At 40.6% G+C, this 15,361-nt stretch overlaps 1 protein-coding gene across 8 annotated transcripts in view; it reads right to left on the minus strand.

Moving 5' to 3' along the window:
* The window catches only part of STK39 (serine/threonine kinase 39), a 293,574-nt gene that overhangs the window by 198,756 nt on the left and 79,457 nt on the right, over window positions 1-15,361 (minus strand). For 7 of the 8 annotated variants that reach the window (NM_001410961.1, NM_013233.3, XM_047443944.1 and 4 more), the window contains exons 3-5: window positions 14,522-14,630; window positions 10,962-11,103; window positions 9,010-9,065 (exon numbers count right to left, since the gene is read on the minus strand). In NM_001410961.1, coding sequence (NP_001397890.1) covers window positions 9,010-9,065; window positions 10,962-11,103; window positions 14,522-14,630 — 307 coding nt within the window. The other variant, XM_017003817.3, reaches the window with a different exon arrangement.

The following is a 15,361-nucleotide window of genomic DNA, read 5'->3' on the forward strand; positions in this document are numbered from 1 at the left end:
AGCGAGGGCTCCTGGCCGGCCATATCCGCAGAGACAGGCATGAACAACTTAGATCAAATATTAATAAGTCTAAATTTCCAATGCAATATTCATATACCTGCAGGTGATCTTTTTTAAACAAATCTTCACTCAACCAGCACTACTATCAGAAGCTTCCATTAAGCCACAATAGCCCATCTGTACATGTTAAAAATATGATCCCTATGGGAGAAGATTAAAATAACACAACTCCAGTTGCTACAAGTATTTAAGGAAACAATGCACACCATTGTTTTACAAAGTTTTCAGAAGGATTAGTTGAATCTTCAAAGAATCTGCAGATTTCCAAATCTGTGATAAAAGAAAACCTCACACTGAAAACTCCTAACATTAAAGAGTCACTGAACTATTGCTCAATATTCTTTTAATCTAAATTTACTATATAGTCAGATGTTTATTAATTCATTTGACAACTATTTGCCAAGATCTTACTAAGTGCCACTTCCAGTTCTAAGTACTGGGACTGTAGACCAGAAACCCCTGCTCTCACGGAGCTGACTTTTAAGTTGGGGCAGGAGTAAGGGGGAGAGGTAAATACAGATAAAAGCAAAATTACAAAATATAATACATAGTAGTAGTTCTCAGACTTCAGCCTGCTTCAGAACCCTTAGAGGGCTTCTTAAAACACAGATTGCTGGGCCCTACCTCTAGAGTTTCCGATTCAGAAGGTCTAGGGTAGGAGAACACAAGAGTTTGCATTTTTATCAAGTTTATGCTGCTGCTGCTGCTCTAGGAGCACACCTTGAGAGAGCCACTGATAGAGAGTACGCTGATGTGTACAATAAAGAAAACAGAGCAGGGCAGGGAATACAAAATATGGGGTGGGGGGGGGTTACAATATGAGGCCTGGAAGTCTCACTGATGTGACACTTGAGCCAAGATCTGAAGGAGGTAAGGAAAAGAGTATTCCAGAAAGAAGGAACGGCCCATGCAAAGATCCCGGGGCAGCAGCATGCAAGGTAAGGAGGCCGATTTGACTGAAGAGGAAGATGTAAGAGTTGAAATCAATGACATAATGAGGGGCCAGATCTTGTAAGGCCTCACGAGCCACCTTAAGGATTTTGACTTTCACTCTGAAATGGCAAGGGGTTGGAGGGTTTTGAGGAAAGGCATAATACAAGTCAACTTAGTTTAACAGCATTAATCCAGATGCCGTGTAGAGAACAGACCACAGAGGGGCAAAGGCAGAAGAAGAGGTCCTTTTAGGAGACCACCATAATAATCCAAACAAGAACTGATGGGTCTGTGGACCAGGATGACAGCAGGGAGCTGATGAAATATGGTCAACCATAGGATTTACTAACATATTGGATAGGATGTAGGGTCCAAGAGAACGACAAGGATCGAGGAATATCAAGATTTCTGGCCCATTCAATAGAAGAATGGTTCTCCCACTAAAAGAACTGGGAAAGACTGTGAGAAGCACAGTTCAGGAGCACAGGGGTCATAGAGTTCTCTATTAAAGTTATCCACTTGTTAGAGTTGCAAGGAAATTTGAGAGCCTAAGCACATCATTTTACAGGTGATACAAACTATGGCCAGCAAAGGGTAAGGACAGTAAGTTAATGACCACTGGGGGCCTAGACTGGCTACTGTGTCCTCAAGTGTACTACATACAATCAAGTGTTAAATCATATTCCACAGAATGTAAACACAGGTTAACACTATTTAAATGTCCTAAAAATCTGTAATCAACATATGATACATGCAGTAACTTATAAGATGTTATTGACCAAAACCTATTTACAATACATATTTAAAATTTATCCCCATTACAACCTATTCAACTAGTCCTAATGTGGATAACTTAAGTTACCCAGGTATAGGCATTCCCTTCACACTTAACACATTTTTTAAATTTATATAGTTGACTGTTTAATGTGTCACCTAAACTCCATGACAGTAGACACAATGTCTCCATTGCTTACCACTGTGTCAGCTGAGAGGACTGTGCCTAGAACATAGCAAATGCTCAATAAATACCTGTCAACTAACCACTGAGGATACACTGAAACCAAACATCTAATGTTTACCTTTTCTCCCACAGAAGGAGCAGGCTATACAAATGGAGGTTCTGGGAAAAAGAAAAATAAACGAAAAAATAAGCAAAGGACCGAATTGCTCTGCTTTCAAGTCTAAAAACTCTTATTTTAGGCAGACCTCCATAGTATTTGGTAATATGTGAAATTTAATTTAATAATGAATTGCAGGCCCTTACAGGAAGGAAAAAAGAGAGGGAAGGAGGGAGACTGAGTCCCATCTGCCTCATGCCCCCCTAGACACTCTTCTGTGAAGCTCAACCCTGTCCCCCCTGCAGCTAAACGTGCAGAGCTGAGCAAAAATTCCAGCAGGAGAGTAGAGCAAAGTGGTTCTCCTCCACCGGGTTCACCCAGTAACATTTCCTTAAGCTGTTGCTCAAACAACTGCTAGCAGCTGTTAAAGCATGAGAAGCTGCTTACAATCTCCCCAAGTATTTCTCACTGATGGTGTGCAGCTGGAATGAAAAACTCAGTTTCCAGAACTGAGTACATTCTTGGTTCATTCTAGAGCTCTTATCAAATGTTACCATTTGTCGAGATACCAAAAATCAGGGAGCCACATTAATTTACTGTCCTTATTCACTTATGCCAAAAAAAAATTCATGTATGAGAATTTTGTCGTAATTCATCAAACCATAATTCACATAGTTATAAACTGTTCCTGAAACTCAAAACAAATATTTCGGTTCACTATAAAGCACTTGCACCCCCCCCACCCCAACAGATTTTAATTTTCATGTGTATTCTATTTTCTGAGTATAACCAGTTGCCTCTTCATTCATGTTCTCTGCTTCACTCTTCCTTAACTTTAGCCTCATGGCTTGCAGGCTAGGGCAGTGCTTGTCCAAAATCAGAAGTGATATTCCCCATTAAAAACTATTTTCAGCCTTTAAAATATGCAGTAGTATACATACCTAAATATTTAAAATATTTCTGCCTCCCTCCCTGCTAAGCTGATATATTCTTACTCATTTCAACTCTCAGCTATGCCTTACATCTGTTCTCTTTGCCACCAACAGGCACATGTACTTGCATAACCTGCTGCTGAGACAGGGTGTCTCCCGTGCCTCTAGGCAGAGTGCACTGACCCAAAGTTCAGGAACACCTGCCATGTATCAGGTACCATCTGGGAATGCTGCGATGAACAACACAGTTTCTCCCTCTGGGAAGTATCCAGTCTGAAGGGAAGATGGGAAAGTAAAGGCCCAATGTCAGTGCTGTGTCATAGGCTAGCTAGAGTATGGCCAGAACCCTTGCAAACCACCAGGGTGAGGGGCTTAACCTGGTGCAGGTGGGCATGGTGGAGGAAATGATCATGAAAGGTTTCTCAAGGAAAGAATTCTTCATGAATAAGTCATGAAAAGAAGTTACTCAGGTAAGAAAGGGGAACCCTGAACAAGAAGCTATAAGCATTTCAAGTCACAGCAGAAAGCACTTGCAGACATGACCAGAAAAACAGGCAGGTCCCTCATCTGCCATTAGTAGGAAGCTGGAGCTTTATTCCATCAACAATGCTTTATTCCATCAACAATGCTTATAAACTTTATGCAAGAGGAAGATACAGTCAGATCTACACTGCAGATTCTTCACTCTGGTGATATTGAGGAAACTGATGGGAAAAAGAAAAGAGCAAAATAACACGGCAGGAGGTCAGATGGAGTGCCTAAGGCCTCGCACCTCCCTAGCCACCGTGAGCTTACCACACCCTAAGTAATTAGAGGACACCATCCCAATTTCAATACGAAAGCAATGAGTTAGCAAATTCTAAAATAAAATGTGTTTTAACTCCTTTAATGCCGCAGTATATTCTCATTACACAAACGTGCAAAATGAGGCACAGAGAAGCTAAAGCTATAACTTGGTTACACAGCTAGAAGGAGCAATGCCAGGACTGAACTATGGCTGTCTGGTGTCAGAGCCCATGCTCTGGGCCAAGGTGCTCATAAATGTGATGACATCATTTCCTGATTGGATGCCTCCGGGGCTTTCAGCGCTTTCCCACACTAATCAGAAGCTGACTCCAGCGCTGCTCGGGTGCCTTGCTCAAAGCAGCAGCCTCTCTTCCCTACAACACAAAAAATAACTCTTAAACCCCTACCCTCCCCATCAAAGTGCACTTTATGAGGGCCAAAGGCCACAGAAGGAAAATGAAAGAACCTAGCAGCTATGGGTGTAAAAACTCAACCACCTTGCCCATCTTCCTCTAGCTCCTTAATGGATAACGCCTAAGTGACAGAAGCAAGTTAAGTTTCATTGCATGTTTTCCTAGCACTTTTAGTCATGGGGTTTTCAGTGTTCAAGATGCAGATTTAAAATGAAGATGTATTCAAGGCTGATAAGGATATTATCTCCCTCCCAGTAAATAAGAGATGCTACCCAAAGTTCTACCAATGTACCTTGGACAGTGAAAAACCCAGGGCATAAGCTTGATTTGAATGGATGCACATACGTGAGGCATTTTGATGGTAACTTTCTAGAGTTCCAGGCTGCTTTCGCTCAGTACCAGTTTTTATTTCTGTTATGTAAAACCAGGGAAGGGAAATTCACATTCACACACATAAGCACTGTCTTTGTGTATTGGGCCTACTATAACAAAATACCTTAGACTGGGTGACTTAAAAACAACAAAATCTTATTTATCACAGTTCTGCAGGCTGGGAAGTCCAAGATTATGGCATCGGCAGATTCACTATCTAGTAAGGACCCGCCTTCTTGTTTATAGATGGTGCCTTCTGTTCGTGTCCTCACATGGTAGAAGGGCACGGCAGCTCTCTGGGGCCTCTTTATAAAGGCACTGGCCCTACTCATGAGGGTTTAGGCCTCATGATCTTATTACCTCCCAAAGGCCCCACCTCCTAACACCATCACATTGGTAATTAGGGTTCAACATATGAATTTGGAGGGCACACAAAATTCAAACCACAGCACACACACACCTAAAAGGCAAACGTAAGTGAAAATGAGCATGAGATCTACCTTACATAATGTAGTAGTAAGCTTCTACAAAGTTCTTTATAAATCAAAGGTGTTGAAATCAACATTTTTATAGAACATCAAGAGTAGCCACTATTTTTTTTAAATCTTAGATTAAAAAGATTAGCAGAAACCACCTCAAAGTGATCTGTTTCATATGAATTTCTGTTTGCTCAAAATAGTGTCTCTCATTAATTCTGGACAAACAGGCTTAGTCATTTGCCAAAGCACTAAGCTCTTCCTGACAATATGACAGGGCATCAAATTGGAAGATAAAATGCTATGCCGTGGGAAGAACATGACTTTCGAGTAGCCACTCCCCCTTCTATCACACAGTGCAGCAAAACCTATTACATTTTCCAAGGCATCCAAGTTGATTATCAGGAAGTTACACACACTGGACCTCTAAGCATAGAAGGTACAGTAAGAAGGAAAGCATTTTCTCTTAAACCCTGAGTAGGCTGTCCTCAGGTTCTAATTCACTACATCAAACCTGAAGTTTTCCAGTCTGAAAAGAGTGTGGTGTCATTATTGAGCTTAATTCTATACCAAATGACGCTTAGATGGCTGCTTCTCCTATGCCCTGAAACCTTACCAGGGACACCCTTGTGTTTCAGCCTGAAGGAGCAAGGAGGAAGAAGGTGCTGAATATGTTCCCTGGCCCAAAGGGGAATCGATTTATGCAGAGACACAGAAGAGCTAGTGATCGCTGGGGTATATTCCATCTGAAAGTGAGGTCATTTAAATCCAGATTTAAGGTCCTCCTCCTGGAAATCCCATAGATGTGAGTTGACAGTTTCTAGAGTCAGACTGTCCAAACCCAAAGCATGGCTACACCGCTTATTCTACGTGTGACCTGGGCAACTGACTTCCCCACTGTAATTTAGTTTCTCCTATGTAAAATGGATGCAATAGTACCTTCCTCATGGAGTTGTGCTGAGGACTGAATGAGACTCAAAGCATTCAGAATCCAAAACCTAGCCTGACACACAGGAAGCACTCAAGACACATTAGTTCCTGATTTTATACCCACGTTCAATAGAAATGTACATTCTTCCCAGAGAATTTGGACTGTGTTCAACAGAACCAGGCTCATTATCCTATCCACCACACTTCTAGCTGCATAATAAAGTGAGGGTTTCTCATGGTCTAAATCAGGCCCTTTAATCTTCTGTTTTCTGATAAAAAGTTCTGAAAAAGGGAATTTATACATATGTAAAAGTGAGTGTTTCCCCTAAAAAAAAACAAAAATCATTATGTTTTCTATTAGGATAGCAAAAATGCCCTTTCTTAAAAACAGTGCACACAATAATATTCTCAAGGTGGGCAATGTATATTACACTCAAAGAAATAAATGCAAACTTAACTTCTCCCCTGCTTAACTTTTATTTCAAACTACAGGGCCTCAGAGGCATAAAGATACAAAGGGGAAAGAGCAAAAACAGACTGGGTAAAAACAATGTATTATTTGTCCAGGTAGCAACAAAAAGGGACCGTCTCACCCCTGCCGTTGCTGAGTCTCCACATTCCACTCTTCCCCCCGATCTCGCCTGTTTCACCCACCGACAAGGATGCCAGTAAAAGACCCAGAGACTCCTGGTCCTCATTTTTGTTCAGGCAGCAACCAAGTACCTGACCAAGAAAGTCAATCTCCTATAAAATGAGGACAGCAGTAACATCTACCTTTCCAAGGAGACATTAAAAATGCTTTAAGGCAATAACCTTATATTATAGTGAACACTTTAAAAATTCAAACTTTAAATACTGTATTAGTTGGATGTTATGATCAGGTCAGAGAATATGGGAGAAATTAAATGTGAATTCTAGAAAGCGACAGTTCCAGAGATGCAGAAGCTGTACATTTAGGTGCCTGTCAAGCAGCCACCATACATCTGGGAAATGGCCATTCCAGTTTGTGTTATTACACAAGCATGAAGTCGCATACTCAAAAAGATACCAAGGAAGTCCCGGATGGCTGGAACACAAAGTCCTCAGCACATGCCAGGCATAGAAAAGGCACAGCCCTCTCTACACATCAATTCACTTAATTCCCACACCTACCCTGTGCAGGGGCTTCCTGCCTGAGCCCTTCTGAACTCAGCAGCCCGCACAGTGCAGGCACGTACTGGGTCACAACAGACTCCTCGGCAGTGAGGAAAAACCCAAAGGCCTGTGATGGAAGGAAAAAGCCAGGAAATCTTACCTCGGGGATTCTTACTGGGAAAAAGAAAAGGACAATGTGTTCCAGAAGGCTCAGGGAGAGGCTCGGATCATTAATCTGACAAGAATAATGGGATGAGATGACTGGCAGAGGACCAAGTAACAGAATAAGGCAGGGGCTGACCAGCCTTCACATTTCAAAGGCAGTTCACTGCTATTTTGACCCTTTTAGTGAGAAATCATCATTTCATCATAAAACAGAAAATTAGTTGTACTTCCTTATCATCTTAGAGCAAGATTAATGGCAAGTTAGCTTCCAAATTCCATAATTAATAAGTATTACCTTTTGATAAGTCATAAACTCTCCTCAGAGCTGAAGCTCTTGCAGGACAATTTGAGGGTCACATGATCTCCAGTCAGTGCAAGGGAGTATCACTGTGATCCTGTTAGTCGTAGTAACAGAAGTAATAGTAGTAATAGTAGCAACAGCAGTAGCAGCAGCAGCCATGGTAGAACAGCAGTTATTGATATTTACTGCTTGCCTATTATGTGTTGGCCACTGTTAAGATCACTGGACCTTGATTTCATGAAAGAAGATGAAGTAGTTTATATTTTTACCCTTCTTTAAGGAAACTGAGTCTTAAGAAGGTTTGGTAACTTGCCCAAGGTGGTACAGCTACTAAGTGGTGGCCTCAGAATTTCGATCAAGTCAGCTGACACCAGAGCCTGCACTCTGAACAACTAGACTGCTTGGGGCTGGACAGTTTGAAATCTTTGCCCACAGATGTCTCTTAGCTGTTACTTGTTTAACTGAAGTACTTTTTCAAACTGTCCTTAGCCTATGGGATAAGGTCCACTCATGAGGACAAGATATGCACACACAAAGCACTAACTCAGATGGCTCAACAACAAAATCCAGCCTCCACGATGAGGAGAGGCACCAGAGTCGGGGGGTGGGGGTGGGGGGCAGCAGATGAATCAAGAATTGCCAAAGATTGATAATTATTGAAACTAGGTGATGGGTACAAGTGGGCTCATCTTACGCGTCTCTGCAATGACAGGGTCACTCCAGTAGAGGGAATGACTGTCTAGCCAAAAAATGCCAAGAACACTCCCCCAAGAAACCATGAAAGCTAAAAGGATTGCTGAGACAGACTTTCAACGACATGGGTAAAGCAAGAGTTAATATGGGCGTGGCTACATCTTATCCCAGGCCTTTAAGGTTACTCTAGGGCCAATAACAAAATAGAGGCTTTGAACACGAAAGGTGCTCACCTGATATTGTGTGTTCATGTAAAAGACATTCATTGCATCCCCAGCCTACCAGCTTTGTCAAGAATAGCCATGTTGGGTCAGAGTTAAAAACAAAATAAGGCCCAGATTTTTAATGTTCACAATTCTTTCAGATACCTCTTAAGAAATAAATTAGTTTTTAATTGATGTGTATGATGTTTTAAATTTTCAAACCTATCGAAAAATGTTTTTACAAGTGCATTTCTTGAAGTTATATGAGTATTACCATTATAAAATGTGAAAGGTAGAAAACATAATAAAATTGAAAATAAAATTATTCTTTATCAAAAAGCTATGTACTAAAATGGCATTTTTCACAGGATGATCTAATGACTTATCAAAACAATAAGGAAAATATGTTATCCTTCGGACCCAAACATTCTGTAAATATCATTCTGAAAAGAGATTACATGCATTTATTCATTTCTCAGGAATGATTCTACATTCCTTGAAACTGTAACACTTCCGTAATCAAGTAAAAAATTTTTCTATTTATCAGCTTTACCTGCTATTTGTACTGAACCATCCTCACCCAGAAGAATATTACCAGCTTTCAAATCCCTATTAGAAAAAAAAATAGAAAATAAATTGTAGGGTACAGACTTTATAGTGTATTGATTCACTCAGGAAGATTTTAAAACATATCATACAACGCAGCTCTTTGACATAATAATTTCATAAATATTAAGATAATAGCACAGATTTTAAAAGTTATAAGGATAGGCTGGGCACAGTGGCTCACGCCTGTAATCCCAGCACTTTGGGAGGCCAAGGTGGGTGGAGCACCTGAGGTCAGGAGTTCGAGACCAGCCTGGAAAAAATGGTGAAACCCCATCTCTACTAAAAATATAAAAATTAGTTGGGCATGGTGGCAGGTGCCTGTAATCCCAGCTACTTGGGAGGCTGAGGCAGAAGAATCACTTGAACCTGGGAGGTGGAGGCTGCAGTGAGCCAACACCGTGCCACTGCACTCCAGCCTGGGCAACAAGAGTGAAACTTGGTCTCAAAAAAAAAAAAAAAAAAAAAAAAAAGGTATAAGGATCCACCTGTCACTTTATAGTTTACTCGTGGGGGAGAGTTAGGATTTTAGAAAGAAATATTTTCTATGAAATAATTATCCAAATTTAATTAAATCATCAGTAAATAGACTCTCTATTTTATGCTTCAGAGTTAGACACTGCCCATAAACTCACACTACTGTCATTCTACCAAGTATTAAAGCCCAGTCTATGTAAAGCTCCTCTACTTCCACTTAAATTTGGGATGCAATTCCAACTTAATTATCTTTCTGAAAAATGAACTTCTCTCTGGTGAGAGACTGATTATAAATACTAATTATAATAATAGATATTATATTTCTTCACCGTATAAAACCTGTGTAATCTTAGTACTTTGAAAAATGACAACTTGCAATTTATAAATTTGATTTCTAAAGTAACTTTTTTCTAATTATTGAAAAATATAGGCCAGCCACAGTGGCTCACGCCTGTAATCCTAGCACTTTGGGAGGCTAAGGTGGGCAGATCATCTGGGATCAAGAGTGTCAGTCCAGCCTGGCCAACATGGTGAACCCCATCTCTACTAAAAATACAAAAATTAGCCAGGCATGGTGCCGCATGCCTGTAATCCCAGCTACTCGGGAGGCTGAGACAGGAGAATTGCTTGAACTCGGGAGGCAGAGGTTGCAGTGAGCTGAGATCACACCATTGCACTCCAGCCTGGGCAACAGAGCAAGACTCTGTCTCAAAAAAAAAAAGAAAAAGAAAAATATAGTAGAAATAATTAAATATAAATTTCAGGGTAGGAGAATTACATTATTAGTATTACTGGTAAATGGCTATTTACTTGCAATAATTCCTAAGAGCCCAAGTAGCACTCACTCACTTGAAACATCAAGCACTCATATTCTATGTGATTTGACTATGTAAAGAATTAACATTTTATGTCACAAAAGAAGATGAGTACCTCTTCCTTCCCTCTCACCACCACATCAAAAATAATTCACATAGTACAATGTTTGGATAGTCTTGCTTGTATTAGAAAGATAGAGATGCTGTCTAGTTCAACTAGTATAATTCAAGAGTAGTTACCAAAACTGATCTTTTTAAATGAGTCCATGTAGTCCTTTTTAGATTCCACTCTTATTTCAGTGAAAGCAACTGAAGCAATCCCAAGGATACCAATATAATTCATCAAAATTTATTCTCTTGTTTCTTTCTTAAGTACTTTTTTCCCATCTATTTAGACTAAGTTAAAGTAATGTCAATACCTGCCTGCAACATGTGTTTCCTTAACATTCTTTACAAACTAGGGCTGAAGATATGAACATCTGAATTTAAACATCTCTGCAGAGGTCACACCTGTGAATCTGACCGTTTCTGTGTAGACAGTCTAAGCCTTCCAAAACCTCTTTAAGATATGAACATCTGAATTTAAACATCTCTGCAGAGGTCATACCTGTGAATCTGACCGTTTCTGTGTAGATAGTCTAAGCCTTCCAAAACCTCTTTAAGAATTGTTGCTATTATTGCCTCTTCCAGAACTCCATTCTTGTGTTCTCCTCGGTTGACAATGTATTTTATGATATCCAACATTGAACCTAAGTAGACAAACAGAAGAATTAAAACATAAGCACCTTCATCACCTTTTCAGAACAAGACTCCATTATGTATAAAATTTAATAGAAACATCAAAATATGGGCTTTATTTAATGCAAATATTCCCAAGGCAAACAAACAATTGAATGGGGGCCCCATGACCAAAAACACTAAATCCAAGTTTGCAAGAGCACTTTCAGTGTGAATTTAACGAGAAGGATTCTGGGTCAGGGACCAGAAGGCTGTTCATGGCCGTTCCATGGCTGGTTCCTTTTCTGGTTACAGTATTTCTCACAAAAATTCCTAAGAGCAACCCTCCAAAGAGGGTGCAAAAAGTCTGAACTGACAAAGAAAGGAGTATGAGGCCAGGAGAAAAGGCAGAAGTGAACTGCTGAGAGAAAAAAAACACACTCTTTGAGGACCTAAATCACAGGTGGGAGGGGGAAAGAAGTATGTTGTTTCTAGACCTCTGCTTATAACCGGAAGATTCCTTCCTGTGACACTACCTGATCTTTATTTTCTTTCCTTCTTTTTCTTTTTTTATTTGAGACAGAGTCTGCCTCTGTCATATAAGCTGGAGTGCAGTGGAGCAATCACAGCTCACTGCAGCCTCAACTTCCCAGGCTCAAGCGATCCTCCCACCTCAGCCTCCCAAGTAGCTGGGACTACAAGTACGTGCCACCACGCCTGGCTAATTTTTGTATTTTTTGTAGAGATGGGGTCTTACCACGTTGCCCATGCCGGTCTTGAACTTCTGGGCTTAAGTGATCTGCCCACCTTTGGCCTCCCAAAGTGCTGGGCTTATAGGCATAAGCCACTGAGCCTGGCTGATCTTTATTTCATTTACCTGATATATTTGAGGCACTAACACTTACAATAAACAAACAGATACCTAGTACTTTGTTACCATATACAGATTAGTATCCTTGGCACTGTGAATTCATGTTTCAACACATATTAATTAGTATTCCAAACCCCTGGGTCAGTTTAAAAGCCAAAATTACCTGGGGGTTTGACATTTCTGAAGAGTTAACAAACGGCTTACCTCAGGACCTGAATTTGGCTCTAGGCTCTTTATAATTAACTAAGAGGATTGAGCTTCCCCATCAGATACAGCTGCCTGCCCCTCATTAAGAGATTCAATGTAATGAAATAGAAGAAAACAAATGCATATTTTTCCCCAGAGGAAAAAAAAACCTCTGTTTATTTGTTGACTCTTAGATTTTTGTGTCATTTAAAAAATGATAATTCCAAAAACATTTTCTTTTTATTGTATAAGGATATACCATACCAGGCATGCATGCATTTCTGTCCTGCTAAAAGAAAAATGAACAAGAGTCCACGTCTGCCCACGTCCTTACCTGTGGAAACCTGTTTAAAATCTGTTCTTACCTAAAGCCCAGAGAGGCTAAATTGGACTCAAAAAGACAAAGAAATTTTCTGTCAGATCCTCCTCAGAAAACAGAAGATTCTCAGCTTCATAAAGCAAAAGGTAAAATCTTCAGCTTGAGCAGAGCATTTGGGACTATTCAGGGTCTCAAGTCATCAGAATTTCTCATTTCCTCAGAGTTGGTGGAACCCCACAAAAAGAGAATGCCTTAAGATCATCTTGTTGGCAAAGCGCAAGTTCCTCTGCTGAATAAAGGGGCAGTCCCAGCACTCAATACTGCAGTCCAGCTCTGGCAGGCTTCCTTTTTCTTTTCCTTTTTCTTTTTTTCTTTTTAATTAAAAACTGAAGTAGGCACTCAAGGAAACAATGACTAATAAGACTGAGGAAGACTGAAAACAGAACAGAACTAAGCTCCCCAGGGCTCCCCACCGAGACCTACACAAGCAGACCCAAGCCAATTACAATGCCTTCGTCATCTCATTTTTGGGCTTCTGCTTGATCCAAGAGAGTTTCCTTTTTAAAAAAGGAAAACATTAAAACACCTCCCTCGACATCTGCAGATTAAAATAGGCTCTATCATATAAATTCTGCTATGCTAGTTTTGGGTTGTCCAGGCACAGCAAAATGTTCTCCTCTGATCCTAAACCATACTTCATGTCTCAGAAAGATACCCAGAGAATCAAGCCCTCGAAAGAGAACACACCAGAGATGTGGGTATGCTGGGTGTTCCCAAGGAAATCACTTGGGCTTTCTAAGCTTCAGTGCCCATGTCTGCAAAACGAAGGTGTAAATACTTGCAGCACAGCATACAAATTTTTAAGTCAACAGATGTTAAAGTCACAAATTCCAGCACCAACATTTACTATGTGTGTGACCTTGGGCAAGTTGCTAAACTCCCTTGAAATTTGGTGTAATTTCTGAAAAACAGGGATGGTGACACAGGCCATTCAGGGACACTGTGAAGATTAAATGGGATAAGGTCAGTAAATTGCCTTGGACAGGATCTAGCCACAGAGTAAGTGTTCAAAAAAGGCAACGGTTATCATTATCATTCCCTCTCTGATAGTGATGTTAGAAGATTAAAAGAAATAAAATACAGGATGTGAAAGCACCTTGTAAATTAAATTGTCAATGGCTTGCATCACTGCAGGGATCTGAAGCTAGAGAGAGGAAGTGACTTTCCCTTCCCAAATGCAACAATAGGATGACAATAGTGCCATTTCTGATCAACACTGCAAGTGAATATGTAGCACACATTTCTCCCCATGTCAACTGAAACCACATTTAGTGAGCACCTACTGGGCGCCAAGTTCAATGAATTCAAAGTGCATTAGACAATCTTCACAAAGTCCACAACCTAAATATGCACTGTCCAATACTGGAGCCATACAAGGTGATTTAAATGTAAGTTAATTAAAATTGAATACTCAGTCCCTCAGTCACACTAGCCACATGTCAAGTGCTTAAGAGTCACATGGGATTAGTAAAAAGTAGATAGCAGCACCTCAGAACATTTCCATCATCACAGAACATTCTGATAAATGGCACTGAGATAATTCAGCAAACTGCAATGTGTTAAGGACCTGAACAATGTTAAAAAGAAAGGACTCAAGGAGAAAGGACTGGCTAACTTTTTTGAAGAGTAAGCGGTGACTGTGGAGAGGATGTGACCTTTTAGGCCTGAGCACATGGAAAACAAAGGAGAGATGCAAGGCTGAGAAAGAGGACAGGTCAGGGGCAAAGGCATGAGAGCACATAATACATTCCGGGGGCTGCCTCTCAGCCTAGAAGGTCGGGCATTTCATACCTGGAGAAGAGGACATACACATTCTCGGAAGTTAAGCAAAATTATGAAAAGCTTTGAAGGTCAATGTGAAGCAATCTGGACGTTATCCTCTAGGCAATGAGAAACCAAACAAACTTTCAAACACAGGAGAGAAAGGATTCAATCTAAAGTCTTCTCCAATATGCTGGTTCCAACAAAAGGAGAGAAAACAAGCAAATAAATAACAACAACAAAATCCACTTACCTCCACTTAGTAATTTCATGACCAGCCAAAGTTCATCTTTGACCACAAAAGAGGTGTAATAGGTCACTACGTTGGGATGGCTGCACTGACTCATGGCTTGAATTTCTTTCTATAAAAAGAGCAAAACATGACATAGTACCATGGGGTGAAAATTGGCAAGCAAAACACAAGTGAATCACAGTTGAGTACCTGGGTAACTTTCCTACTCGAAAGCCTACCTGAGGGGCTGCCTAAGCCATTACTTCAAAGAAGGTATATAAGGACCAATTCTCTCACCCACATTATCAACTCAGATTAGAAAGTTCTCTACAGGAGACCACAGAGCCCTGTGGACCAGCTACCAGACACAGGAACTTCAGATCACTGTTATCACCCAGATGACCCCCCAACTCTGCCAGCAGAGAGCCCTGCCACATAGGACTAAGAGCCTCATACCTGAACCGAAGGCTTGACAGGGAGATAAAAGACTGGGTGAGTTACTAGGACACCTGCATCCTGGTGCCAGCCTGAACTCTGGTGGATCTTAGCTCCTCCCTCATCCAAAAAACGACAACAAAACTGTCCCTGTTTCTCAGGACTGCTGTGATGGTAAATGAGAAAATACATTTGAAAATGCTACAGTATTATTTCCCAGCTATCTGCCACAGTAGATATTCCATTAACTAAAAAAAGGAGGTGGCAGGGAAGAGAGCGGCAGGCGAAGTAAAATAAGCTTGGGAAAGATCAGATAATATATCTCATTCTAAAAGAATCACAGGGAATATTAGTACTGTCAAAGGCTCTGAGAAGTCCTGCAGTAGATAAACTGCCATAGTTTAATCCATATTAACAGAGCAGGAA

Source organism: Homo sapiens, chromosome 2, assembly GCF_000001405.40.
Source record: "Homo sapiens chromosome 2, GRCh38.p14 Primary Assembly".
Lineage (NCBI taxonomy): Eukaryota > Metazoa > Chordata > Mammalia > Primates > Hominidae > Homo > Homo sapiens.